The sequence below is a fragment of the Homo sapiens genome, chromosome 7 (assembly GCF_000001405.40).
Source record: "Homo sapiens chromosome 7, GRCh38.p14 Primary Assembly".
Classification (NCBI taxonomy): domain Eukaryota; kingdom Metazoa; phylum Chordata; class Mammalia; order Primates; family Hominidae; genus Homo; species Homo sapiens.
The window spans coordinates 71358649-71386269 of NC_000007.14; the positions used below are offsets into that span (position 1 = coordinate 71358649).

The window sequence follows — 27621 nt, forward strand, 5'->3', positions numbered from 1 at the left end:
GTAATTTGTTCTTTTAACTGTATTTATTATTATGTTGTAAAACGTGTTCAGAGATATGTGGAACCCAGAATTTTCACTGATTATCATAAGTTTGCTTTTCTTTCTTTTTTCTTTTCTTTTCTTTTTCTTTTTCTTTTTTTTTGAGACGTGGTTTCGCTCTTGTTGCCCAGGCTGGAGTGCAGTGGCACAATCTTGGCTCACTGCAACCTCTGTGTCCTGGGTTCAAGTGATTCTCCTGCCTCAGACTCCTGAGTAGCTGGAATTACAGGCGCCCACCACCACATCCGGCTACTTTTTTGGAGTTTTAGTAGAGATGGGGTTTCGCCATGCTGGCCAGGCTGGTCTCAAACTCCTGACCTCAAGTGATCCTCCTGCCTTGGCCTCCCAAAATTCTGGGATTTGCTTCCATTCATTAATTTTGTTGATTTGCAATGATTTACAAGATTTGTAGTTCAAAGGGACCATTGTTAGTGTCACAAGTACAGTGCCTTTGTCTGTTTGTGTTGCTGTCAAGGAATACCTCAGGTTGGATACTTTATAAAGAAAAGAGGTCTAACTGGCTCACAGTTCTACACGCTGTACGAGAAGCATGACACCAGCATTTGCTCAGGTTCTGTCGAATGCTTGAGGCTGTGCCACCTCTCAGAGGAGGGTGAAGAGGAGCCAGCGTGCAGAGATCTCATGGTGAGAGTGGAAGGGAGAGAGGGGTGGCAGGTGCCGGGTGCCAGGCTCTTTTCAACAATTAGCTCCCAGGGAACTCTCCTGAGAACTCACAGAGTAGAGAACCCACTACCATGAGGATAGCTCCAAGGCATCCATGAGGGGTCGGCCCCATGACCCAAACACCTTCCAGTAGACCCCCGACTCCAACTTTGGGAATCAGATTTCAATATGGCGTGTCAAATATCCAAAACATAGCATATAACTACTGCAGTGGGTATAATTTTTTTTTTTTTTAGACAGATCTTGCTGTCACCCAGGCTGGAGTGCGGTGGCACCGTCTCGGCTCACTGCAACCTCCACCTTCTGGGTTCAAGCAGTTCTTCTGCCTCAGCCTCTTAAGTTGCTGGGATTACAGGTACCTGCCACCATACCCGGCTAATTTTTGTGCTTTTAGTAGAGATGGGGTTTCACCATGTTGGCCAGGCTGGCCTCAAACTCCTGACCTCAGGTGATCCACCTGCCTGAAATGAACGAATAAATAAAAATTCATGATAATCCAATCCAGGGTTGATTTCCGTTTATATTGCTGAAACCATGTAAGGTTTCAACCAGATGAGATGTGGTCTCCACGATCTCCCCACTTGGTTTTAAGTGGGGAGATACTAGATTGAAGGCTTATGTGGATGGGAATACTTACCTACATCAGTGTAGACAGCTACATTAAAATCCCTTGAGGCTCTTATTGAAGTACAGATTCCCAGGTTCCAAGTTTCAAAGAACTGAAGTATTAGGTTGCACTGTATGAAATTGCTATTTGTGGCCAAATATCAACAATCTCACATGATCCAACCAAATATGATGAAAATCCCACAGTACTGAAGTAAACCTACTGAATACAATTTGATATCTTAGCTGTTTTATAAGGACTTCTAGTGAACTCATTTGTTCAAAAATTCATTCATCCGATCGACCAGATATAAATTATGACTACTAACTCGGATAAGATGTGATCTCTACCATCATAACTACTAAATAAAAGGAAAACATGTGATTTCCAGTTCAGATGAGTCACTGAAGCAAGAAACCCAGAAGGAAGAACCAACTTGTGATGAAAAAGTCATTTTCCAAGTTCCTGGGACTATGGATACCGAACTTCGGTTATCACTTTAATTACTGCAGATATACAAGCCACGACAAACTGGCCTGATCTATATATAATTACAGACACAAGAAATGCTTTGGTTTTACTAAATTTCAGATATCACATTGCCATTGTTCCTCTCTCCTAATAAGAGTGTGTAAATTACAGATACAGATGTTTTTAAAACTTTCTGATAGCCAGCGGGTGCAGTGGCTCATGCCTGTAATCCCAGTACTTTGGGAGGCCAAGATGGGCAGATCACTTGAGGCCAGGAGTTCAAGACCAGCCTGGCCAACGTGGCAAAACCCCGTCTCTACTAAAAAAAACCCACAAAAATTAGCTGGGTATGGTGGCGGGTCCCTGTAATCCCAGCTACTTGGGAGGCAGAGGCACGAGAATTGCTTGAACCCGGGAGGCGGAGGTTGCAGTGAGCCAAGGTCGTGGCACTACACTCCAGTGTGGGTGACAGAACAAGACGCCTTGCTCCTTAAAAGACGTCCTTAAAAATAATAATAACTTTCTCGTAGCTGTATTTCACATCAAGAAACAAATAATCCTGATAAAACTTATTTGACTAGCTACTTATTGGTATCAACAAGCTCTTATTGAATAAATATGTAACTGAATGACATCCTGGGGGCTCATTATTATTATATGAGTTACCCAAAGTTCCCAGAATTTCTGGTATGCAGTGCTGTAGCCAACAGTGGTCATTCCTATATCTGCTTTTACAGTTTTTACTATCTATACCAGTTACTCTCAAAACTTCATGGGCATAAGAAACACCTGGGGGGGTGTCAATTGAAATACAAAATAAATAAAAAATAAAAAACCACTATCAACAACATTTGAGTCTTGCATTTTACCTGTGATATGGGTGCCTACAGACTTTATCAGTGTGCTTCTCATGGGAAGTTTTAGCACTTGAAACCCAGGGACACCATTTCTATTATCTGAGACCGCCTTGAAGGTTTCTTCCCCTTTCGATATTCCTCTCTGTTCTTTCTCACTAATTCTTGGAAAGTCATCTTCAATTCAGTTCAACAAATACCTATTGTATATTTACTATATAGTAGACACAGAGCTCAGAGCTTAAGGAATGTGAAAATGCACAAGACCTGCCCCCTGGCTACGAGGAGTTTTTTCATCTAGTAGGAGAAGCATATGTGTCTGGCTATAATACTTGGCAGAATAAAATAGCTGTGATGTTGAGTTTCGTTGAGTTTTATTTCTATTGCATAGATTGAATGTCTTCAGCTTCAGGTTGCAAATCCTGGTGACTCCAGCACAATATGTGTTATAAATAGCATTGCATCTTGACTGCAAATGAACTCAGAGAGAGAGAGAGAGAGAGACAGAGAGAGAGAGAGAGTGGGCAGGCAGGAAGATAAAAGGTTGAGCACAATTTGGGCGTTTGTTTATGTGATTGAACTACGGCTGGGGCTGGGCTAGGTGCTGTTCATGGCTGGAGGAGGCAGGTTCTTTTCCTGTATGAGATTTTTACTTTTTATTTTTATTTTTTGAGATGGAGTCTCCCTCAGTTGCCCAGGCTGGGGTACAGTGGTGCAGTCTCAGCTCACTGCAACCTCTGCCTCTTGGGTTCAAGAGATTCTCCTGCCTCAGCCTCCCGAGTGGCTAGGATTACAGGCGCCTGCCACCACGCCTGGCTAATTTTTTGTATTTTTAGTAGAAACGGGGTTTCTCCATGTTGGCCAGGCTGGTCTCGAACCCCTGACCTCAAGTGATCCACTTGCCTCGGCCTCCCAAAATGTTGGGATTATAGGCGTGAGCCACCGCGCCCGGCTTTGTATGAGATTTTGTCTTTGTGACTAAATCACTTCTTTGTGTACAAACTTACATTCTGCCCCTGAGCATGTGTGTTCATGCTTAACTGATTCAAAGACTACATTTCCCCCAACATATTACACCAAATGTACTTAACAGCAATTAGAATGTTTGCCGCCTGCTGTGTGCAGATCTCCCCAGAAAACAAAATTCTCCTAAATGGCAGTATAAGTAATTCTGAAGATTAAAGCTGGTGATTTGCAGAGTGCTTGGTTCGCTGGCTTCCTGCAAATATCAAGATTAACAAAGAAATTCATTGATCCCATTTTGCCTCCTTAATGCCTGTGCACAGGCCTAAGGGAACGCATCCCACGTGGCTGTGTGATTCAGATGAAGACTTGCTGTTGCTTTTTTTCATGGCCAAGATGCTGATTTAGTGGCATTTTTCTTGGCAAAAGTGCCCCAAGAAAACAAATCCATTTGTGTATATTTTTACGGGAAACGCTCCACCTAACCCTGCCCCGCTGAAAGCCTTCCCCGTGAGTCGTGAAGGAAACATGGCTGATTTGCTACTGTTCAAAGGGCGACTCAGGTCTTGACTGAAAGACCGTACACGGGTTGTTTGATGCTGTGTAAATCTCAGCCACGCTGAACACTCCTTTCCCCAACTCTAAATACAGGACCCCTGAACATGTTGCCCTCCACACCTTCTTCCATTTCTTTCTTTCTTTCTTTCTTTTTTTTTTTGAGGCAGAGTCTCACATTGTCACCCAGGCTGGAGTGCCGTGGCCCGATCTCAGCTGACCGCAACCTCCATCTTCTGGGTTCAAGTGATTCTCCTGCCTCAGCCTCCTGAGTAGCTGGGATTGCAGGCACGCACCACGATGCCTGGCTAATTTTTGTATTTTTAGTAGAGCCAGGGTTTCACCATGTTGGCCAGGCTGGTCTTGAACTCCTGACCTCAAGTGATCCACCCACCTCGGCCTCCCAAAGTGCTGGGATTACAGTCGTGAGCCACTGCACCTGGCCACTTTGTTCCATTTCTAATGTGTTAATGTACTCAATAAGCAATAGTTTTGGAGTGTAGATGGTGTACCCTGAAATGCACCAGGCACTGGAAAATACAGTGGTGATTGAGAGGCAAAGTCCTTACCCTCAGAGCAGAGCAATCTTTTGCAAACACACGTTGTGTCCTGGTCACTCTAGTGAGACCAGCAGCCAATGCCAGCCGCCAGTTTGGCGGCTTTCTCTGGACAGCTCCATCACCCCCATTCCCTTTGATTGAGACCTTTCTGTGTCCATGATGATCTCCCCAACTTGGAATTCTGCTCCATTCTCTGATTTCTTCATTCTCCGACTTCAAAACCAGCCTTCTTTAGTATTCCCTTCCAGCAGTTAAGTAACTTTCGTATAGCTGATATTAAAAAGAAAACCCTAGACAAATTAAATGAAACAGAGTTTAATTGAGCAAAGAAGGATTCGCAGATCGGACAGCCGCGTGGTGGATAAAGATTTAAGGACAGCAAAAGGAGAGTGGTGGACGGAAAACAGAAGCAAGGTAGAGAAGCAGCTTCTTGATTACAGCTCAGTGTTTGCCTTACTTGAGCACAGTTTGAACAGTTGGCCACCTTTGATTGGCCGAAACTCAGTGATTGGCACAAGAATAGGTGACAGTTTGTTTCCATATCCAGTAAGGTTACAGTCCACTATTTATGGAGAAACCTTGAGGTTTAACTTAAAGTATGCAAGGAGGCAGCTTTAGGCTAAACTTACATATATACATGTTTTTTTCCATAAGTTATTGGGGTACAGGTGGTATTTGGTTACATGAGTAGGTTCTTTAGTGATGATTTGGGTGCACCCATCACCCGAGCAGTATATACAGCACCCTATTTGTAGCCTTTTATCCCTCACCTCCCCTCCCACTTTTACCACCAAGTCCCCAAAGTCCATTGTATCATTCTTATTAGGCTAAACTTAATTTAACAGTAGTTAGTGGCAGGCCAGAGATTTGAAGTCAGGCCTCAGTACAGATTTGGTGTTCTGCCTTCCTCAGTTCTTGGCATGTAGGATCTTGGTGCTCCCACACAGTTTTATCTTTTCCTTCTCTGAGTGTCCTGGATGGAGTGTCTCGCTTCAGTCCTGGTTTTCACAGGACTCAGTGCCCTCCACCAATATCCTGCTGGGCCTAATTCTGCCTCTCTTCTGTGAGGTCGTTGTATGGGGTGGGATTCCCAAGGCAACATACCATTTTGCCAGGTAAATGGCATTCCTGGCAATATTCCTTTGGACCAGTGAGGAAAGTAGAACATTTTATGGGGTAGTGCAGATGTGTGACTAAATATTTTTCATTAGAACCCGTTTTCAATGACTCATTAAAGCAATTTTTAAACCCAGGCATGGAGTCAGGGAGCAAAACTGTCTTAGGGAGAAAAGAGGGAGGTATGTCAGGACACTCATTTTGAAGAAGGCATGACTTTGCCTACTAGAGCTTAGCATGCTTTCTGCTTACAATCCCACCTGCTGGCTGAGTGGAGAGCAAAATTCTTTAAAGATGTAGGAATGTAAGATGAGAGGAACTCATTTGCTGGGGCTGAATGCCAAGTGAAAATTCCGCTTCTTTAATCTACTTCCCTTCTCCTATCTTTCCCCTGCATTCCCAGATTTCTAAAAGGAATCATTTTAATACTTTTTTTTATTATTTTTATTTTGAGATGGAGTCTCACTCTGTCCCCCAGGCTGGAGTGCAGTGGCATGGTCTTGGCTCACTGCAACCTCTGCCTCCTGGGTTCAAGCGGTTCTCCTGCCTCAGCCTCCCAAGTAGCTGTGATTACAGGCCTGTGCAACACCATGCCTGGCTAACTTTTGTATTTTCAGTAGATACTGGGCTTCACCATGTTGGCCAGGCTGGTCTCACACTCCTGACCTAAAGTGATCTGCCTGCCTCAGCCTCCCAAAGCACGGGGATTACAGGCATAAGCCACCACATCCGGTCATGGAAGGAATAGTTTTTGTTTTTTTGAAACAGAGTCTCGCTCTGCTGCCAGGGTGGAGTGCAGTGGTGCGATCTCAGCTCACTGCAACCTCTGCCTCCCAGGCTCAAGCAATTCTCCTGTTTCAGCCTCCTGAATACCTGTACTACAGGCGTGCGCCACCACTCCCAGCTAATTTTTTGTAGTTTTAGTAGAGATGGGGTTTTACCATGTTGGCCAGGATGATCTCAATCTCTTGACCTGTGGTGATCCACCCGCCTCGGCTTCCCAAAGTGCTGGGATTATAGGCGTGAGCCACAGCGCCCACCCAGGAGGAATAGTTTTAATCTGTTGCATCCATCACTCCCTCCACAGCTCAGCATAGTAAGCACTGTATTGAAATGTGCAGATGTCTCCTATGATTTCCTGCCAAATTTAATAGTTTTAATAGAGTTTTAAATTCTTTTTTTTTTAATTTAAAGAAAGTATCCAAATGACAGTTGAATATGTTATTTATGAATTGTCTAGATCAGCAGTTCCCAGCCTTTTTGGTACCAGGGACTGGTTTCATGGAAGACAATTTTTCTATGAACTGGGGGTGAGGGGTGGGTTGGTTTGGGGATGATTCAAGCTCATTCCATTGATTGTGCACTTGTTTCTATTATTATTACATTGTAATATATAATAAAATAATTACACAACTCATTACAATGTAGAATCATGGGGAGCCCTGAGCTTGTTTTCCTGCAACTAGACGGTCCCATCTGGGGGTGATGGGAGACAGTGACAGATCATCAGGCATTAGATTCTCATAAGGAGCTCGCAACCTAGATCCCTCGTATGCTCAGTTCACGATAGGGCTTGCACTCTTACGAGAATCTAATGCTGCTGCTGAGCTGACAGGAGGCAGATCTCAGGTGGTCACGTGAGTAGATGGGGAGAGGCTGTAAATACAGAAGAAGTTTTGCCCACTCTCCTGACGCTCACCTCCTGCTGTGTGACCTGGATTCTAACAGGTCACAGACTGGTATTGTTCCGAGGCCTAGGGGTTGGGGACCTGTGATCTAGGTGTATACATAGAAAAAGAAACCCTCGGCTGGGCACGGTGGCTCACACCTGTACCAGCACTTTGGGAGGCCGAGGCGAGTGGATCACGAAGTCAAGAGATCGAGACCATCCTGGCCAACATAGTGAAACCCTGTCTCTATTAAAAATACAAAAATTAGCTAGGCATGGTGGCGGGCGCCTGTAATCCCAGTTACTCGGGAGGCTGAAACAGGAGAATTGCTTGAACCTGGGAAGCGGAGGTTGCAGTGAGCTGAGATCGTGCCATTGCACTCCAGCCTGGCGACAGAGCGAGACTCTGTCTCAAACAAACAAACAAACAAGAAATCCTCTTCAAGCCCCAGCCCCAGATCTCTCTCTTCTCAGCAAAGGTGACTACTGTTGGCTGTTTCTTGTGTGTCCTTCTGCTGTTTTCTTATGCATGAATATGTTAGACATGTCCATTTTTAATCTTGAAAGATTCTGCCGACTTGCTCTCTAAAGGACTCTGCCTGTTTATATGTCACCCAACAGTACATGAGTGGCCTTCCTCACACCTGACTCCCTAGGTAAGACCAGTCTTCATTTGTTTTGCCAACCTGAAGGCTAAAAAAATATTTCTTTATAGTTCTTGGATGCCTTTCTTTGACTATTACAGAGGTTGATCATCTCTTCATGTATTTATTGAATATGTGGGTTCCTTCTGTTGATTTCTGAGAGACATTTGTTCATATCACTCACTCGGACCGAGACTTTTTGTCTTTTAGTTCATGGATTTTCAATACATTTTGTTCTACCTATTGGTGAACTATGTTGTTAGGTATGTATATTCATGACTATTTAATTGTCTCAAGCAATACCTTTGATCAATAAAAAACATTCCTCTTTGACCCTGGATTCCTTCATGTCTCTTGTAAAACCACTGCCGTAATCTTATCCATCTACTTCTCTTGCCTCTCCTCATCAATACTTCTTCCTTATAGGCTTCTGAGTATCTTTGTAAAACATCAGTAGGTTCTAGCTGGGTGTTAGCCTGAGGATAAACTGATGAAGGGTATGGGACCAAAAAACATATAGGTGGAAACCCCAAATCCCAAGCGCTGGCCATGGGTTTACCTTGACATGTGTGCAGGGGAGGTGGGAAGGGGACAGTCTGGACCACTGGCATTTGGACCACACATCATAATGACAGCCGAGAAGGGAACCTATTTGGTATAGACCGAGCTTCCCTTCTGTTTGACATGTTTGTTGGTGGTTTCCAGACAAGTGTCCCTAATCTATGTGGTTGTTTGCCTTTAACAGATGGTTCCAGGTTACAGTGGGGCCCCCAATGCCTGAGGCCACCGGGAAATTGAGAAATCAGATCTAGTGAGTTGCCAATTTCTTTGACTGGTCTCACTAGCCACTGACGAGTCCACCAGCTCCTTTCAAATTTAATTTCAGGGGTCAAATGCCCCCTTCTATTTGGGGCTCTTCCTATCAGACCAAATGCCTTGTTTGTAGTTCTGATGATTTAGGCTGGAAAACACCGTTTTCTGCCAACGATGCAGTCAGCTGCATAGAACAAGCTGCCATTGTTAATTAGGTAAGTTATGTGGTCAAGGAAGTACCTTTTACTGGTGGTCTTTATTCAGAATAAGGAAGAGGGGACTTGTGATGGAGCCACACAGAGAACTAGCAGGTCACCAGCCAGAGCACTGGACCCTAGGAGAGGACTTGGGCTCTCTGAGCCAGTTCTGACTGCCCACGGAAGATGTCTCCACACATTCCCCATTGCTTGGGGCCAAAAGGCAGTGGCAGAATCTCTGGGGCCGTGGGAGGAGCCGAAGAACAGACGTGGGGAGGGGGAGGATTGTGATCTGGGGAAGAGAGCGTGCACACACGCATCTTGGTTGGACCTGAAGGGATGCTATGTTGTTCTTTGATTAACACACATGCTCTGTGTAATGTCACTTCTCTGGTCTAAAACCCTTGACACTGGGACTTCCCATGACTGGAGGATCAAGTCTGAATTTTATAAGGTGGCTTCAGAACACCTGGTACACTGCTGTCTTCTTTTCCTCGCCTCAGTCCCTTCCTGAAACATCTATTTCAGTTTCTTGGCGGTACATTGTACATTTTCTCTCCTCTGTTTTTACACATGCTATTCATTTTTTTCCTAGAGAGTTTTTCCCGTCTTCCTGTCTCCCCCTTTGCAGGCCCTCACCTGGAAATTACTTACTCATGCTTCATGACCCAGTTCAAATTTTGTCACCTCTGTGAAACCTTCCCTGGGCCCCGTTGATCTCCTTGAAGGCAGAAATAAGCTCCCAGAGCAGGATGAACAAACGTCTCTTGTCGCATTTATCCTTCCGTGTCATAATTATGATTTACATATATATTTTTTTCTTAAGGAGCTGTGAGCTTTTCCAGAATAACAGTGAGATTTTAGAAATTTCTGTATCCTCAACACTTTGCTTGCCCATAATTGATGCTCAGTGTTTGCAAATGTCACAGTTAAGCTAATGTTTCTGGGTGATATAGACATACTTGTTCTTCGGTGTGTTAAGAAGGAAGAAACAGATTTTTAAACTGATACAAGATCCATATTAAAATCAAAGGCTAGGCATGGCCCTCCATCAGTGATAAGCATTGAGGCGTATCTATACTGCCCAGTTTCCTCGGGGGTGGGGGGGGGTGTTCCTCTCTCCTAGCTTTTACCACTGAGATGAAATAAGAATCGGAATTAAATAAAGTCACCATCCTCAGCAAGAGATGAGTTTCTTCTCCAGTGATCTGATGTGGCATTTTCAGCCAGGAATGAGATATCCTGGGAGGGGAATCAGTATTTCTACAATTATAGGTTCTTCAATAAGTCCTAGAATACTAGAACTCTGTGCTCTGCACAACCTACTCTTAGTACACATGACCAGAATGCCTTTTCTCTGTTACATTGATTAATGTATTAAACCAATACTTATCAAGTATCTGGGATGAGCCTAACCTATGTCAGTAGATATATCAGCCAAAGATTAGTGGTCCCTGACCTCATGGAACCTGTAGGCTAGGGATGCAAAGGGTAAGAGTCAGGAACAAAGGCTATGGAGAGATTTATTGTTGCTACCCTGAGTTCCTGCCTCATGTATCCACTACCATTTCTATAGCTTCCTCAATAGCCCAAAGTGTGAGGAGTAAAGTTAATATGGCAGTCTCCAAGTTCGTAGGAGATCTTCCCTGTGGGGTTTTGGAAAGGAAGGCACTGCTAGTTGGAGGAAGGTTGAAAAGAATGAAAACTATGTGCCAGGCGTGGTGGCTCACGCCTGTAATCCCAGCACTTTGGGAGGCAGAGGTAGGCGGATCACTTGAGTTCTAGAGTTCGAGACCAGCCTGGCCAATATGGAGAAACCCCGTCTCTACTAAAAATACAACAGTTAGCCCGGTGTCATGGCACGCGCCTGTAATCCCAGCTACTCGGGAGGCTGCGACACAAGAATCACTTGAACCCAGAGGCGGAGGTTGCAGTGAGCTGAGATCGCACCATTGCGCTCCAGCCTGGGTGACATAGTGAGGCTTTTTGTCAAAAAAAAAAAAAAAAAAAAAAAAAAGAACAAAAACTATGTATTATTGACCTGTGTCAGAGGGATGGTCCAGATGGCAGGGAGAATTCTACAGGACGTTCAAAAGCCAGTGGAAATGGGATTTAAAGAGGATTGAAAACGTTCTTTTGATGCCATTCTGTCCTAGGGTGGAAGTGAGGTCTAGAGGAAGCAATTGGCCATGTAAGTTATTAGATTGCTTTACAAGTGGGTATTAGTGAATGAGACCCAATGCCAGGGATGCTCAGTTAGAGAGTTCGGCTTCTTAATAAAACACCCAGCCCCGGCTCCCATCCTGTATGGCATTGTCATCATTGTAAACAGCAGTTCTATAACCTTAAGAAATTGGCATACAGCTGGAGCTAACTCAGTTTCCAAACAAGATTTTAGTCATTGTATGTTTAAGTCTCTCATGCTTCTTCAGAGCCACCTGTTCACCAACAGAGGAAAGTCTCCAAGTGGAGTGACTGATTTTATGTTTATTTTATTTTAGTTTGTTACTTTTTGAGGCGGGGGCTGAAGTGCAGTGGCAGCATCATGGCTCACTGCAGCCTTGAACTCCTGGGCTCAAGCGATCCTCCTGCCTCAGCCTCCTGTGTAGCTGAGACTACAGGTGTGTGCCACCCAAGGCTGGCTAATTTTTTAAAATTTGTATTATTTATTTTTACTTTTTTGAGACAGAGTTTCCATCTGTCACCCAGGCTGGAGTACAGTTGTGTGATCTCGGCTCACTGCAACCTCTGCCTCTCAGGTTTAAGTGATTCTCAAGCCTGAGCCTCCTGAATTGCTGGGATTACATGCCCTAATTTTTGTATTTTTAGTAGAGATGGGTTTTCGCCATGTTGGCCAGGCTGGTCTTGAACTCCTGGTCTCAATTGATCTGCCCACCTCAGCCTCCCAAAGTGCTGGGATTACAGGTGTGAGCCACCACCGCGCCTGGCCCTTATTTTTATTTTTTGTAGAGATGGGGTCTCTCTTTGTTGCCCAGGCTGGTCTCGAACTTCTGGCCTCAAGTGATCCTCCTGCCTCAGCCTCCCAAAGTGCTGAGATTACAGGCATGAACCACTGTGCCTCGTCTGACTTTATGTTTCTTATACAAGCATATCGTGGGATTGCTCCTGGGTAGAGACAGAAGTTGGAGGTCCCCTTTAGTGGTATCTGTATTTGTTTTCAAGAATGAATAATGTGAGGTCAAGTTGTATCTTTCTTCCCCCACATCTGCCTGTCAAAGGAATAGTTGTGATTTCATTTTTGATTCAGAACTGTTGCTGACTGTGGCATCAGTGGGCAATTGTAGGGTAACACAGTGTGTCTCTTATTTAATGCCTCTTCATGTCATGCCCATGTGAAAATCTCAGGCTTTTAGTCAAGCTTTGCAGTTCCCTTTGATTTTGCAATATGATTTTGTCAGCCATGAATTGATCTAAATCGATGTGTTTTTCTGTTACATTTGCTTATGATAAAAAAAGAACAGAAAAAGTATAAAGAAGCAACAAAAATGATTTATAATTTCACCACCCAGAGGCAAAATGACATTTCATTGTTTTTTACTTTGAATGTCTTTTATTACTCATGAAGTTCTACCTGTTTTTATAAGTTTGTTAGCCATTTGTCTCTTTTGTTATATGAATTATGCATTCATGTTTTTTGTTTATTTATCTAATTGTGCTCTTTGAGTTTTCATTATTTGAATAGTGTAAGATCTTTCACTCTTTTGTTATTGCTGTAAATGACTTTTTTGCAATTTGCCGTTGTCTTTTAATGTTATTTTGATGATCAGAGGTTTTCGGCTATTATTAAACTATTACTTTTAAACTTGGAAATTCTTTCATATCCAGAATTTGTATGAATATTCACTTATATCTTGTTTTATTTTCCCTATATTTATAATTCTAAATTTAATGGTTTTATCTATCTGCAGTTGGTTTTGAATTGTGTTTGGAAGGGAGACGTGCACTATTATACCCCATGGAGATAGGAAAGGACCCCCAACACCATTTATTGAATGATTCTCTCCTTGCTTTTGGTTTGTGGTACCTTCTAGGTATTTATTCTCTAAGAGCAGGTCTGCTTGTGGCCTCTTGGTTCTGTTGCACTTGCCAGTTGGCTTGTTCTGGAGCCATCCTGATTAAATTATATTAGCCTTAGAATTAGAGTTATTATGTTGTGTGTGACAGGGTCTCACTCTGTCACCCAGGCTGGAGTGCAGTGGTGCCATCATAGCTCACTGCCATCTTGAACTTGTAGGCTCAAGTGATCTTCCCGCGGCAGCTTCCTGATTAGCTAAGACTACAGGCACGCACCACCATGCCCACCTAATTATATTCTTTTCTATTTTTTTATTTTTTGAGATGGAGTCTCGCTCTGTTGCCCAGGCCCAGGCCCGAGTGCAGTGGCACAATCTTGGCTCACTGCAACCTCCACCTCCCGGCCTCAAGCGATTCTCCTGCCTCAGCCTCCTGAGTAGCTGGGATTATAGGCACCCACCACCAAGCCTGGCTAATTTTTGTATTTTTAGTAGAAACAGGGTTTTGCCATGTTGGACAGGCTGGTCTCGAACTCCTGACCTCAAGTGATCCACCTGCCTCAGTCTCCCAAAGTGCTGGGATCATAGGCATGAGCCACCATGCCCAGCATGTTTTACTTCATTTTTAAGATAGAATCTTGCTCTGTTACCCAGTGGTAACATCACAGCTCTCTGCAACCTCTTCCTCCCGGGCTCAAGTGGTCCTCCCGCCTCAGCCTCCCTAGTAGCTGGGACTACAGGCATGTGCCACCACACCTGGCTAATGTTTTAAAAAAATTTTGTAGAGATGGAGTTTCACCATTTTGCCCAAGCTGATCTCAACCCTCTGGTCTCAAGTGATCCTCTTGCCTCTGCTTCTCCAAGTGCTGAAATTATAGATGTGAGCCACTGCCCCCGGCCATAATTATATTAGCTTTATATTGGATTGAATATCATATACAGATGTGTAGCATACAACGATGCTTTGGTCATCTGTGGCCTACACACGATGGGGAAAAGCTGAAAAATAGTTCCCAGGTAGCATACAAGAAAGGGATCCCCATGCTAGCTCCCAGAAGGGCTTAGCTCTTGTTATTTTAAGGAAACTGAGGCCCAAAAAGGAGTGATCCGCATGTCGAGGTGGGGAGCTTTTAGTATCAACACAGTTTGATAACATGCTTCTTTATGCATTGCGTGTCTCATTAGCATGTGAAACCTCTACTCCTGGGCATGATTTTCAGTATTATAATGAGATTATATTGAGGAAAAACTCAGTGAAAGGTCAGCGCTTGGAGCCCATCTTGTCTTGAGCTGGCTGGATTCAGTCAGGCTCTTTTCAGGAATGCCAGCGTCTCACTTCACTAGCCTTGGAAGATGGCCACGTTCTTACCAGGAATGGTGGAGTCCCTCTGTAACAATCTGGGGAGAAGTAATTCAAGGAGAGAAACAGGTTCTTTCTTTTATGGTTGGGAATTCTGCTTGGTTAGCTAAGTTAGGAGGGCCTGCTTTCTGCGGTGTGACTCAGGTCAGCTGGTGAAGGGAGGCAGGGAGGTTGGGGAGGGGAAGATGTGAAGGGTCTTGGTGACCATGCCTCTTGTCTGCCAGGACCGAGTCTCTATACCGGGGGTCCCCAGACCTTGGGCAGTGGAGTGGTTTCGGTCTGCAGCCTGTGGCCTGATAGGAACTGGGCCGAACAGCAGGAGGTGAGCGGCGGGTGAGCAAGCGAAGCTTCACCTGTATTTACAGCTGCTCCCCATCCCTCACTTGAGCTCTGGCTCCTGTCAGATCAGCGGCAGCATTGAATGCTCATAGGAGTATTGTGAATTCTGCATACGAGGGATCTATTTCATAGGCTGCACACTCCTTATGAGAATCTAATGCCTGATGATCTGAGATGGAACAGTTTCATTCTTAAACCATCACCCCCACGCCACACCCCCGGTTCATGGAAAAATTGCCTTCCATGAAACCGGTCCCTGCTGCCAAAAATGTTGGGGGCCGTTGCTCTATACTGTCTCCCAATGATAAAATCTAACCACACGTTTCTCCAAACATATCATATTGTTAAACACCATATGACTGTGCATCTCTGGGTTTCCTTATACCCTTTCCTTTTCCACAGTTTTGTTATTTATTGTTACCTATTCTTTCAGGTGCAATGTTGAAATCATTTCTCAAGTGCTAAAATTGTTTCCATAGAAATATTTACAAAGGTAACATTTATAGTATTTTTTAAATTATAAAGGTAATGCGTTTTTGGTGTGGAAAACTGGAGACCACAGTGAAATATAAAGGAGTAAACAGAAGCAATAAAAAATTCCTCCACTCACACCTTCCTTGATGAATAATTCCTTCTTTTCAGAAGCAGGAGCTTTGGAGTCAGGTAGATAAAGTTTAAGTCTACCCACCACTTTCTTGGCTTTGTGAAAGTGACTCTGAGCCTCAATTTTCTCATCTGCAAAATGAGGAATCCTACATGACTGGCTTATTGTGAAACAGAATGAGATAATGTATAGGCTGTACGGTTCCAGCATAGCAGCCAGAACGGCTGGGCTCACCCTTGCACATGTCCAGCTGGGGGCCGCCTTTCTGCTCCTTGTGTTTCAGGACCAGTGGGCTAGCCCAGTCTTCTCATTATGAAGGCAAGAGAGCCCCTCGTGAGGCTCACGCTTGGAGCTGGTACGTAGCTCTTCACCTGGTCAAAGCAAGCTATGTGGCCAAGCCCAGATCCGAGGGGTAGAGAAAACAGACTTTGCCTCTTGAGTGGGAAAAACTTCAGTCACACTGCAAAGGATGTGGAGACGTGGAAGGTGAAGGATTGGGCTATGAATGCATTTTCCCACATAGTAGAAACAGGATCTGCTCAATCTCTCTGGCAGTTCAGGATGGGAAGGCATTTTAGATGGACTGAGATAAGACCAGGTTAGGACTAAGCTGGACCTGGAGGGGCTGGGGTATAGGATCTGACTGAAAGGTGCATTTGGCTTGTTCTTGAGGAGGATTTTTTTTTTTTTTTTTTTTTTTGAGACGGAGTCTTGCTCTGTTGCCCAGGCTGGAGTGCAGTGGCGCAATCTTGGCTCACCGCAAACTCCACCTCCTGGGTTAAAGCGATTCTCATGCCTCAGCCTCCTGAGTAGCTGGGATTACAGGCGCACACCACCATGCCCAGCTAATTTTTGTGTTTTTAGTAGAGACGGGGTTTCACCATGTTGGCCAGGCTGGTCTTGAACTCCTGACCTCAGATGATCCACCCACCTCGGCCTCCCAAAGTGCTGGGATTACAGGCGTGAGCCTCTGTGCCTGGCTGGAAGATTTTATAAGTGGAGATAACAATAATGAAAGTAACACAAGGACATAGGGATGGCCCAGATGTGGGAAGAAACAGAAGTGTTTCAGGGTCAATGTCAGTAAAAACACAAGCTTGCAGGGCCAATTTGGGCAGAACAGTAAAAGGAAAATCGGCTCATTTGGTAATACGTTTCTCATTTCTCTGCTGACGTTGCAGGGTAACAACTTTTAGGACCAGTTTGGAGCTCTGTAAAGGGCCAAAGAGGTTGGAGGGTGAGACATTGAGTGAGAGCAAAGGGTTTTATGGCCTTCAGAGATGGTCTCGCTCTGTTGCCCAGGCTGGAGTGCAGTGGTGCAGTCACACCTCACTGCAGCCTCGACCTTCAGGACTCAGGCGATCCTCTCACCTCAGCCTTCCAGGTGAGTAGCTAAGACTACAGGCACGTGTCACCATGCCTATCTAATTTATAAATTATTTTTAGAGACACGGATCTCCCTCTGCTGCCCAGGCTGGTCTCAAACTCTTGGGGTCAAGTGATCCTCCTCCCTGGGCCTTCCAAAGCTCTGGGATTACAGGCATGAGCCACTGCCCCCAGCCTTTGGCTTTTAGTTTCTATAAAGAAACCTACTGGGCCAGACGTGGTGGCTCATGCCTGTAATCCCAGCCAAAAATCTGTGGGGCTCAGCTTTCCTTGGCCAGATATGCCAGTTTCAACGTACAGTAGGAGGGCAGAACACTTGAGGTCAGGAGTTCACGACCAGCCTGAACAACATGGTAAAACCCCGACTGTACTGAAACTTCAAAAATTAGCCGGTGCGGTGGCGTGCGCCTGTCATCCCAGCTACTTGACGGGGGCTGAGGTAGGATAATCAGTTGAACCTGGGAGGCAGAGGTCACAGTGAGCCAAGATTGTGCCACTGCACTCCAGCCTGGGCCATAGCGTGAGACTCCATCTCCAAAAAAAAGAAAAAGAAAAAGAAAAAAAAGAATCTTACTGGCCAAATTTTGGATCTGCTGCTGCTTGGCGTAAAGCTATTTATTATTTCTAATTTGCATTATTTCCTGATGTATTTTCATCCCTCTTGCAGCAGTCAGGGTTGTCCCCTCGTTTGACATGTACCATAGAAAGGTTATAGGATTGAATACTATGTAAGAATAACGTAGGCAGCATTTCCTGTGCATGCACAGGAGGATTTTTTTTTTTTAGCTCTGGCCTGAAACTGTCTGCATTAATTTACCCTTAATTGTTTTTAGAAATTCTATTCCTGAGCCATTGCTTAATAAAACTTAAGGTTTGGAGTTGTTTTTTTTTTTTTTTTTTTTTTTTTTTTGCTTTAGTTGAATTCATCAAGATAAGCTGTATTATACTCAGATTCATTTACTGAACTGAGAATCTGAAGGACGCCTCCCTTCTGCTCCCGTATGTGTGCGAGTGTGTGTGTATGTGTGTGTGTGTCTGTCTGTGTGTCTTTTCTTCCCTTTTAGAGAAAGCAGTGCTGTACAAAGCAGGGAACTATGGTAGAATTGAGGGTAAAAGAAGAAAATCCTTCTAGGCACAGTGGCCCACGCATGTAATCCTGGCACTTTGGGAGGCCCAGGCAAGAGGATTGATTGAGACTAGGAGTTCAAGACCAGCCTGCGCAACTTAGCAATGCCCCATCTCTGAAAAAGAAAATTAAAATTAGTTGGTCATGGTGTCGTGCCTGTAATCCCAGCACTTTGGGAGGCCAAGACAGGTGGATCAGTTGAGGTCAGGAGTTCAAGACCAGCCTGGCCAACATGGTGAAACCCCGTCTCTACTAAAAATACAAAAGTTAGCCAAGCGAGGTGGTACACACCTGTAATCTCAGCCATTCTGGAGGCTGGGACAGGAGAATCACTTGAGGCCAGAAGGTGGAGGTGGCAGTGAGCCAAGATTGTGCCACTGCACTCCAGCCCGGGCAACAGAGCGATATTCCATCTCAAAAAAAAAAAAAAATAAAAATAAAAAAAATATATATATATATATATATATATATAAAATCTCCTTCTGATGATAAAGGGTTAGTTTGTTTGCCCATGACAGGCCCTCCTACTGTACCTTGAAACTGGCATATCAGGCCAAGGAAAGCTGAGCCCCACAAATTTTTGGCTAAAGGCAATTACCTCATCCCTGGAAAAGCAACTCTTTATGACTCAAAGAAAAATACATATTTCCCAGGTAGCCGTGGAGCCAGTAGGTGAATATTCGGAGAATATTCCAAAATAAATATTAATAGGAGCCAGGCTGTCAAAGAAGACATAGAGCTTTGTTGAGCCTAAAGTGCTTGGCAACAGAACCTGGGCTAGTCACTGGCCTGTGACCATGGTGTTGGGGGAGACTCACACTGACAGTGATGTTCTCTGGGTGTGTAGACTGAGTTCATCTCTTCCTGCCCTGCTTCTGAGGGAAGCTGTTAAAAGGTATGAATTCTCTCCCCAGCAAAAACAAAACAAAACAAAAATTCCTTGTCCATGCACCCACAATGATATGGTTTGGCTCTGTGTTCCCACCCAAATCTCATCTCTAATCGTAATCCCCATGTGTCAAGGGAGGGACCTGTAGTCTCCACGTGTTGAGGGATGGAGGTGATTGGATCATGGGGGCAGTTTCCCCCATGTTGTCCTTGTGATATAGTGTGTGAGTTCTCAGATCTGATGGTTTTATAAGTGTTTGGAAGTCCCTCCTTCCTTCTCTCTCCTGCCGCCTTGTGAAGAAGGTGCTTGCTTCCCTGTTGCTTTCTGCTATGATTGTAAGTTTCCTGAGGCCTTCCAAGCCATGTGGAGCTGTGAGTCCATTAAACCTCTTTCCTTTATAAATTACCCAGTCTCGGGAATAGCTGTGTGAAAACGGACTCATACAATATCTTGCATTCAATTTCTAGGAGTTTTGCTGGGGCTCCATAGACCACAAAATATCTCATGCTTTAAAGCAGGCTAAATCTTGATGTGTGAACATTGCCCCAATATGACTAATAGGCAGGACACACTTGGACTCAAATGCTAGAGTAGACAGTTTGTACGGGAGACTGCTCTGTGAGGGAACTGAGCTAATGAGGTGTGTTGTTGCTTCCTGGAAGAACTGCAGAGCTCAACTGGAGGAAATTAAACCACTCAGCAAAGTGTGCATTTTTCCTAATAATGAGAGCTCCAAAAGCGGGGCCTCGCACCTCTCAGTGATTCCAACCCCCATCTCATTTTGCAAGGTTCGCTGTTGCCAAAAATGATACCACTCTTTCCCGAGATTATAGGGAAGCCTTGATGAGGAGGGAAGCATAAAGGGAAAATTGGGCTGGTTAATGCACTTGACCCAAGCAGCTTTCAGAGTTTGAGCCCTGATTAGTAAATCAAGGGAGACAGAAGTGTGGTTGTGTTCGGGATGGTATCTTTTAAGCGTTGAGGTGCCATCACTGATGCTTTAATTGAGGTAGGAAATAAGTGATGCCTTTGATCATAAGAGAAGCAGAGGGAATAAATAGGAAAGGGATTTTCATTTGTTCATTCAGTAACCATTTATCTGCCAAGCATTCTGCCAGGCTCTAGGGGAACAGAAAGAAATAAGGCCAGTCACTGTGGCTCGTGCCTGTAATCCCAGTGCTTTGGAAGGTGTACGAGGAAGAATTGCTTGAGGTCAGGAGTTGGAGACCAGCCTGGGCAACACACTGAGACCCCATCTCTACAAAAAAAAAATAAATAAATAAATAAAAATAAATTAGCCAGGTGTGGTGGTGCACGCCTGTAGTCCCAGCTACTTGGGATGCTGAGACAGGAGGATTGCTTGCACCCTGGAGGTCAAGGCTGCAGTGAGCTATGATTGTGCCGCTGCACTCCAGCCTGGGCGACAGAGCAAAACCCTATCTCTAAAAAAGAAAAAAAGAAGATGCTGTAGCTCCTGAACGCCTGCACTCTTGGAGTGGGGATGACCAGAGTGAAGAGTGCCATGATGGCAGCCCACAGAGGGACAGAAAGTAACAAAGGAGAAGTGCCTGATACCAGGCTGGGCTCTGGGAAGGCTAGGGCTGGAGACCAGAGGAAGTGCCTAGCAGGAGGAAGGTAGTGTTGGGCAGATAGAACAGTTTGTGTGACTTGAGAGACAGCATTCTCAGTTCTAGGAAATAACAAATTCATAGTGGCTGGAGAAAGGGCAGGGAGAGGCGATGAGGTTGGAGAGATGGATCGGGCTCAACTTGGGTGCCAAGCAGAGGAATTTAAACCTAATTCTGAAAGCTTAGAATTAGGAGAGGCCAGGAGATCCTTTAAGTAGAGGAGTGACGTGATCATATGTACTCTAGAGAGGTCATTCTGGTCGCAGTAGGGTAAGTGGGATGGGGTTGGAGGCAAGGGACCAGTTAGGTGGCTTTTGGTGTCATTCAGGAGGTAACCAGTGAGGACTGGAACTAAGGCGGTAGCAATGGAGGAGAAGGGACAAATGTCACACAGAGATCCTGAAAATGGCAGAATCTGCAGGATTTGGTGACCGATAGGCATGTTGAGGGGTCATGACTTGAATTTGACTCCTGAAGAGACAGGGTGGTGGCCTTCAGCAAAGACAGGGTGGTACAAAAAGAGGAGGTTTCAGTTTTCAGCATGCTGAATTTGGGATGTTTATGAGCGCTCCACGTGGAGATTTACAAGGGGGAGCTGAAGTTTCAGTGAAGGTCCAGGCTAGAGATGTGGGTTTGGGAGTTGCCAGGGTACTTGGAGCTGTAGACTTGCATGAGGTCACCCAGGACCCGTTTATGAAGAGAGAACAGTGAAGGGCAAAAGAAGGAGCTTAAGGATTTGGGGAATTTAAAGGAAAGGGTAACCTGTGCAACAAAACCAGTGGCCAAGGAAGATCCCAGAGGAGAAAAAGCCCAGATAGGAATGGGGGAGGAATATTGAGTGTCCAGGATCCGAGAGGAAATAGCGATTATACAAGGAGAGGGATGGCGGTGTTGCATACTGCAGAAAGGATCATCAGCGATGGTGAGGTTGGGAAGGTCCCTCCATTCTGGCCACGTAGAGTAGATGTCACTGGAAACTTTAACAAGAGCAGTTTCAGCAAAATAGGTTGCACAGGAGCCAAGTGCTGGGTGAAGCGAGGAATGAATGAGAGGTAAAGAAGGGAGACAGGGAGGGAAAGGAACATGTCAATTAAGCCAATTAAGGCTGTGGAAAAAGAGACTATTTACTTATTTTTTATTAGTATTAATATTATTATTATTATTTTTGAAACAGAATCTTGTTCTGTTGACCAGGCTGGAGTGCAGTGGTGCCATCATGGCCCCCAGCAGCCTTGAACTCCTGGGCTCAAGCCATCCTCCTGTCTCAGCCTCCTCAGTAGCCAACACCACACCCGGCTAATTTTTTAAATGTTTTTGTAGCGATGGGATCTTGCTTTGTCGCCCAGGCTGGTCTCGAACTCCTGGCCTCAACAATCCTCCTGCTTCAGCCTCCCAAAACTCTGGGATTATAGGCATGAGCCACCGCACCAACCCAGTTTTTTTACTTAAATGGGAGGGAGTTGAGTAGAAAAGGTTGGCAGAGGGAGAGCGAAGATGCAAGAGAGAGAGTGATGGACGAGGCAAGGCTCTGAGGTGGGAGGAGGCTGGGATCCACAGTAAGGATGCAGGGGTCAGCCTTGAACTCCTGGACTCAGCTTCCATCAAGAGAGGAGGTGAAGACAAAGAATGGGTTGAGAGGTAGGTAAGCTTGCAGGAGGGAAGTGCTTCTCCCATTTCCAGTGTGCAGGAACCACCCAGAGAGCTTGATAAGGGGTAGATTGCTGGGCCCCACCTCCAGGGATTCTGAGTCCCTAGGTCTGGGAGGAGCCTGGGGTTTTTGTTTTTTTTTTTTAAGACAGGATCTCGCTCCGTCACCCAGGCTGGAGTGCAGAGGCGCGATATTGACTCACTGCAATCTCTGCCTCCCAGGCTCAAGGTATCCTCCCACCTCAGCCTCCTGAGTAGCTGGGACTACAGGTGTGTGCCACCACGCCCAGCTGATTTTTATATTTCTTGGTAGAGGTGGGATTTCACCATGTTGGCCAGACTGGTCTTGAACTCCTGACCTCTGGTGGTCCGCTGCCTCTACCTCCCAAAGTGCTGGGATTCCAGGCGTGAGCCACCACGCCTGGCTTGGTCCTAGGGATTTTTATTTCTAACAAGCCCCCAGACGATGCTGTTGCGGATGCTACAGACCTGTGGACCACATGTGGAAATTAGGGCTGATGGTATTGATTTCTCTGTGGAGTAGGAGGCACTATCCCTTGCGGACTGGGAGGTTGGCCCAAGGAACTTGGCAAAAGGTAGAGGACAGTGAAGGGTAATGAAATCCAGGGTTCTGACCTAGAACAGAAAGAAGCCTGCAGAGCAGGCCAGGTGCGGGGGCTCAGGCCTGGAATCCCAGCACTTTGAGAGGCCGAGGCGGGCGGATCACCTGAGGTCAGGAGTTCGAGACCAGCCTGGCTAACATGGTGGAACCCCATCTTTACTAAAAATGCAAAAATTAGCTGGGTGTGGTGGTGCATGCCTGTAATCCCAGCTAATCAGGAGGCTGAGGCAGGAGAATTGTTTGAACCTGGGAGGTGGAGGTTGCAGTGAGCTGAGATCATGCCATGGCACTCCAGCCTGGGCTACAGAGCAAGACTCCGTCTCAGAAAAAAGAAAAGAAAAGAAACCTGCGGCGCAAAGAGTGGAGCCCCTGGAGGTGTCTCCTTTGCAGCTGCATGAATGTGAGACTTGGTCTTGCAGCCTGCAGTGTCAGCTGTGTAAGAAAAGGGGAGAAGAGGCAAGTGGGTGGTTCTGTCTAGAGCTGGGGTCCTTCAGCACTTGTGGGAAAGAAAGGCAGAGGGACAGGAGAACTGTGGGGTTGGCAAAAGGCAGAGCCTGGTTGAAGGAAGTATGGAGAGTCCAGTTGGACTGGACGAACTTGAAACCAGGGAAGGGCTAATAGATTAAAAAAACAAAACAAAATGGCTAGGCGTGGTGGCTCACGCCTGTAATCCTAGCACTTTGGGAGGCCGAGGTGGGCAGATCGCCTGAGGTCAGGAGTTCAAGACCAGCCTGGACAACATGGTGAAACCTCGTCTCTAATAAAAATAGAAAAATTAGCCGGGTGTGGTGGCAGGTGTCTGTAATCCCAGCTACTTGGGAGGCTGAGGCAGAAGAATCGCTTGAACCCAGGGGGCGGAGGGTACAGTGAGTCGAGATCACGCCATTGCACCCTAGCCTGGGCCACAAAAGCAAGACTCCATCTCAAAAACACAAAAACAAAAACAGAACAAAACAAACAAGTGTCCCAGGGCCTGAAAGTCTAAGAGTAAGGGTTTTGGGACTACGAGGCTGGAGAACTGGGATGAAGAGAGATTATGACTGTTGAAGTCAAAGGTGGTCCAACTGCAGCTGTTCTGGGTGTCAGTGAGGTCCAGGAAAAGCCATGGGGGTCTGAGATAATTGCACTGCAGTAACCGAAACGAGGTGGTCCTCCTGGGCATCCCTGGGTGTGGGGTCAGAGGCTCTTGAAGTGGTGACAGGAAGGAGAGGTTGCAGTGACAAGGTTCTGATGAGGTGTGACACCGCAATCTGGTGTAATCTTCTTTTCCAAACCAAAGGGCAGTGCGTTCATTCGGGTTCCCTAGAGAAAGAGAAGGAATTGGGCAGGGGCAGGATGGGGAGGTAGAGAGAGAGAATGAATTTATTTATTTTTCCCATTTTTTATTGTGTTAAAATATACATAACATAAAATTTACCATCCTAACCATTTTTAAGTGGTTCATTGGCATTAAGCACGTTTACATTGTCATGTAACTGCCACCACCGTCCATCTCCAGGATATTTTCCTCATCTGAAACAGAAACACTGCACCCAATCACAATAATTTCCCATTCCCCCTTCCCTGTCCCCTGATAACCTCTTTTCTATTTTCTGTCAATGAATTGGACCATTCTAGGTAACTCCTGTAAGTAGAATCATACAGAATTTATGTTTTGTGATTAGCTTATTTCACCTAGTAATCCTCAAAGTTCATCCATGTGGTAGTATATTGCAGAATTTCCTTCCTTTTTAAAACTGGATAACATTCCATTTTATATATACACAGCCATCCCTTGGTATCTGAAGGGGATTGGCTCCAGATCCCCCTTGGATACCAAAATCCCTGGAAGCTCAAGGAAATCCCTCACATAAAATGACATAATATTTGTACATAAACTACGCACATCCTCACATATACTTTAAATCATCTCTAGATTACTTACAATATCTAATGCAGTATAAATGTCATGTAAATAATTGTTACGCTTATTGATTTTATATCATTATTATTATTGTTATTGAGACTGAGTCTTGCTCTGTCGCCCAGACTAGAGTGCAGTGGTGCGGTCATAGCTCACTGTAACCCTGAAGTCCTGGCCTCAAGCAATCCTCCCACCTCAGGCTCCTGAGTGGCTGAAACTGCAGGCATGTGCCACCATGCCTGGCTAATTTTTACTTTCAGAGATGGGGTCTCACTGTGTTCCCCAAGCTGGTCTTGAACTCCTGGCCTCTAGCACTCTTCCCACCTTGGCGTCCCAAGTAGTTAAGGCTACAGGTGTGAGTTGCTATGCTTGGCTCTGTGTTTTTTTTATCTTGATTTTGGGGATTTTTTCCCTCTGTGGTTGGTTGAATATGAAAATACAGAACCTGTGGATTAGAAAGGCTGACTCCACATACTACATTTTCTTGATTCATTTGTCTATTGATGAACACCTGGATTGCTTCCAACATTTAGCTGCGAATAATGCTCTATGAACATGCGGGTACAAGTATCTCTTCAAGACTCTGCTTTCAGTTCTTCTGGGTATATACCCGGAAGTGGAATTGCTACTCTACTGTTAACGGACCACCCACCATACTATTTTCCACAGCGGCCGTAACATCCTCCCCTTCCATCAACAGTGCACAAGGGTTTCAATTTCTCCGCATCCTCTTCAACACTTGTTATTTTCAGGTTTTTGTTTTGTTTTGTTTTGTTTTTTTGTTTTTTGTTTTAACAGTAGCCATCTTAATGGATGTGACGTGGTATCTCAGTGTAGTGTTGATTTGCATTTCTCTAATGATTAGTGATGTTGAGCAGAGAGAGGTTTATTTTAAGAACCTGGCTCACATGGTTGTGGTAACTGGCACATCCCACGTCCGCATGGTAGGTGGAGACCTTGGGAAGGGTGTCTGGTGGCAGAATTTCCTCTGGCAGTGGAAAGAGACGATGTGAAGATGGGTATGTCCACAGCGTGCTGCAGTTCTCAAGGGTTTTCTCATTGTCTTGCAGCTACTCTGAGGATGTCAAGGTGGTGTTCTCTGACTCAAACTACCTTTTCCATCAGAATCCCACAGTTTCCGTCCCATGTTGCCTTCCAGAGCTCTGAGAGTTTGAGGGTAGTATGTGGTGGAGAGGCCTGAGTGCCCAGAGAACACGGACCTTCATCAGCGGTAAAGACTTTATTAATTAATGCTCATGATCTTCTGCATGTTTATGGAGCACTTTGGAAATGAATAGGAATTAGCCCGGTAGGAATTTGCAGAGCCTGGTGTGAGGCTGTCATTGCATTGTGAGTCTAGCTCTTTACTGTGTAATCTCTAAAGCTTACAAGATTTCTCCTGGAAGGTCAAGGAAGAGTGCCTCTGTACTCAGTAGAGCTCTGATATCACATTTCTCCCTCTGTTCTTGACCATGCAAGTCTAATTCAGTGAGATCTATCCATTCAGATCCAGCCTGGAGCTCACCGTCCCCACCTTCCTGGTCCAGCTTAGCCCATCTATTACAGCTGTTGTAGATACTTCGTTTGACACTTAGCATCTCCTGCATTGCATTGACAACTGCCTTGTTAGAAGTGTTTAATGTGCTTTAGCCCTCATATCCCAGAACTCTGGGTGATTGGGGTGGGGCAGTGCATGGTGATTGGTCCTGTCCCTTGGGTGTGGCAGATGTTAGGGCAGAGACTGAGGGGCATCACTGCACTTGGGAGCTAGAGTTGAGGCAAGCAGCCAGGAAGGCCTGCAGATCAGCCACACAGTTTCGCCCATGTGAGCCAAGCGATACCGAGAAACCCAGGTAGACCCTCGAAAGGGGAGCGCTCGCCTTAGACAGACCCAAGAGACAAGGGCTGGAGGCTGAGCTCAGGCCCAGTGGTCACCTGCCCAGCCCGGCAGTCATCTGCCCAGCCGTCTGAGCATGCACAGTGCAGCTTCCATATCCAGCCCCTTTAAGATCCTCTTCTGTGCCCCTGCCCTGAGGGATGATGGTGACGACAGAGTCAGGCCTTGGTGCACAGTGGCTGAAGTGCTGCAGTGGCTCATTAGCACAGGACTTTTGCAAGGCCTAGAGTGACTGAGGGCAACCTTGGCTCCTCCCTGCCTGGGATTCTTCAGTTCCAGGGCTTGGGGGCAGAACACTCTCCCACATGAGCTTTATGCACATTCCCGCCAGCCTGATTAACCCCAGGGGAGGTGGAGCCGGCTTCTGCTCACCCACATCCCCCTTGAAGGGAAATCAAACCTGACCCGGCTCAGTGATACTATGTGGGAATACTTTGCCCCCAGCAGGCCATGGGCACGGTGCACCTGGCTGCAGAGGACCTTCTCCTAGTTGGGGCTTTTAGGGCAGAGATGAAGAAATCAAGAAATTGGCTGGGTGCGGTGGCTCATGTCTGTAATCCCAGCAGTTTGGGAGGCTGAGGTGCGCAGATCGCTTGAGGTCAGGAGTTGAAGACCAGCTTGGCCAACATGGTGAAACCCCATCTCTATTAAAAATACAAAAATTGGCCAGGTGTGGCAGCACATGCCTGTAATCCCAGCACTTGGGAAGGCCGAGGCAGGCAGATCACCTCAGGCCAGGAGTTCGAGACCAGCCTCTGAGGGACCCTCTGGAGTGCTCTTGTTTTGTGGACCACCACACAGTCAATGAGATGATTCCTGCCAACTGCCTGTGAGCCCGTCAATAATCACTGTAATCTCCCTGGCAGCCCCCAGAAGTAGATTTACAGCAGCATGGTAAAAATGAGGCTGCTTGATCAATGCATCCCTGGACGATCTTCTCCAGGAGACAAACACATATTGTAACAAAACTTTATTTTCTTCTGAAAATTGCCTACATGATTAATATGGCCTGAC

At 45.7% G+C, this 27621-nt stretch overlaps 1 protein-coding gene across 4 annotated transcripts in view, besides 1 other annotated feature; it reads left to right on the forward strand.

Moving 5' to 3' along the window:
* The window catches only part of GALNT17 (polypeptide N-acetylgalactosaminyltransferase 17), a 581456-nt gene that overhangs the window by 226505 nt on the left and 327330 nt on the right, over positions 1-27621 (forward strand). The gene's annotated exons all lie outside the window — the stretch shown is intronic.
* Positions 26137-26780: an enhancer, noted in NCBI's record as "H3K27ac-H3K4me1 hESC enhancer chr7:70849771-70850414 (GRCh37/hg19 assembly coordinates)". NCBI's record gives its function as "activates a minimal SCP1, AML or CMV promoter by ChIP-STARR-seq in naive and primed H9 embryonic stem cells {active_cell/tissue: H9 hESC(naive and primed)}" and the evidence as "EXISTENCE:reporter gene assay evidence [ECO:0000049][PMID:30033119]".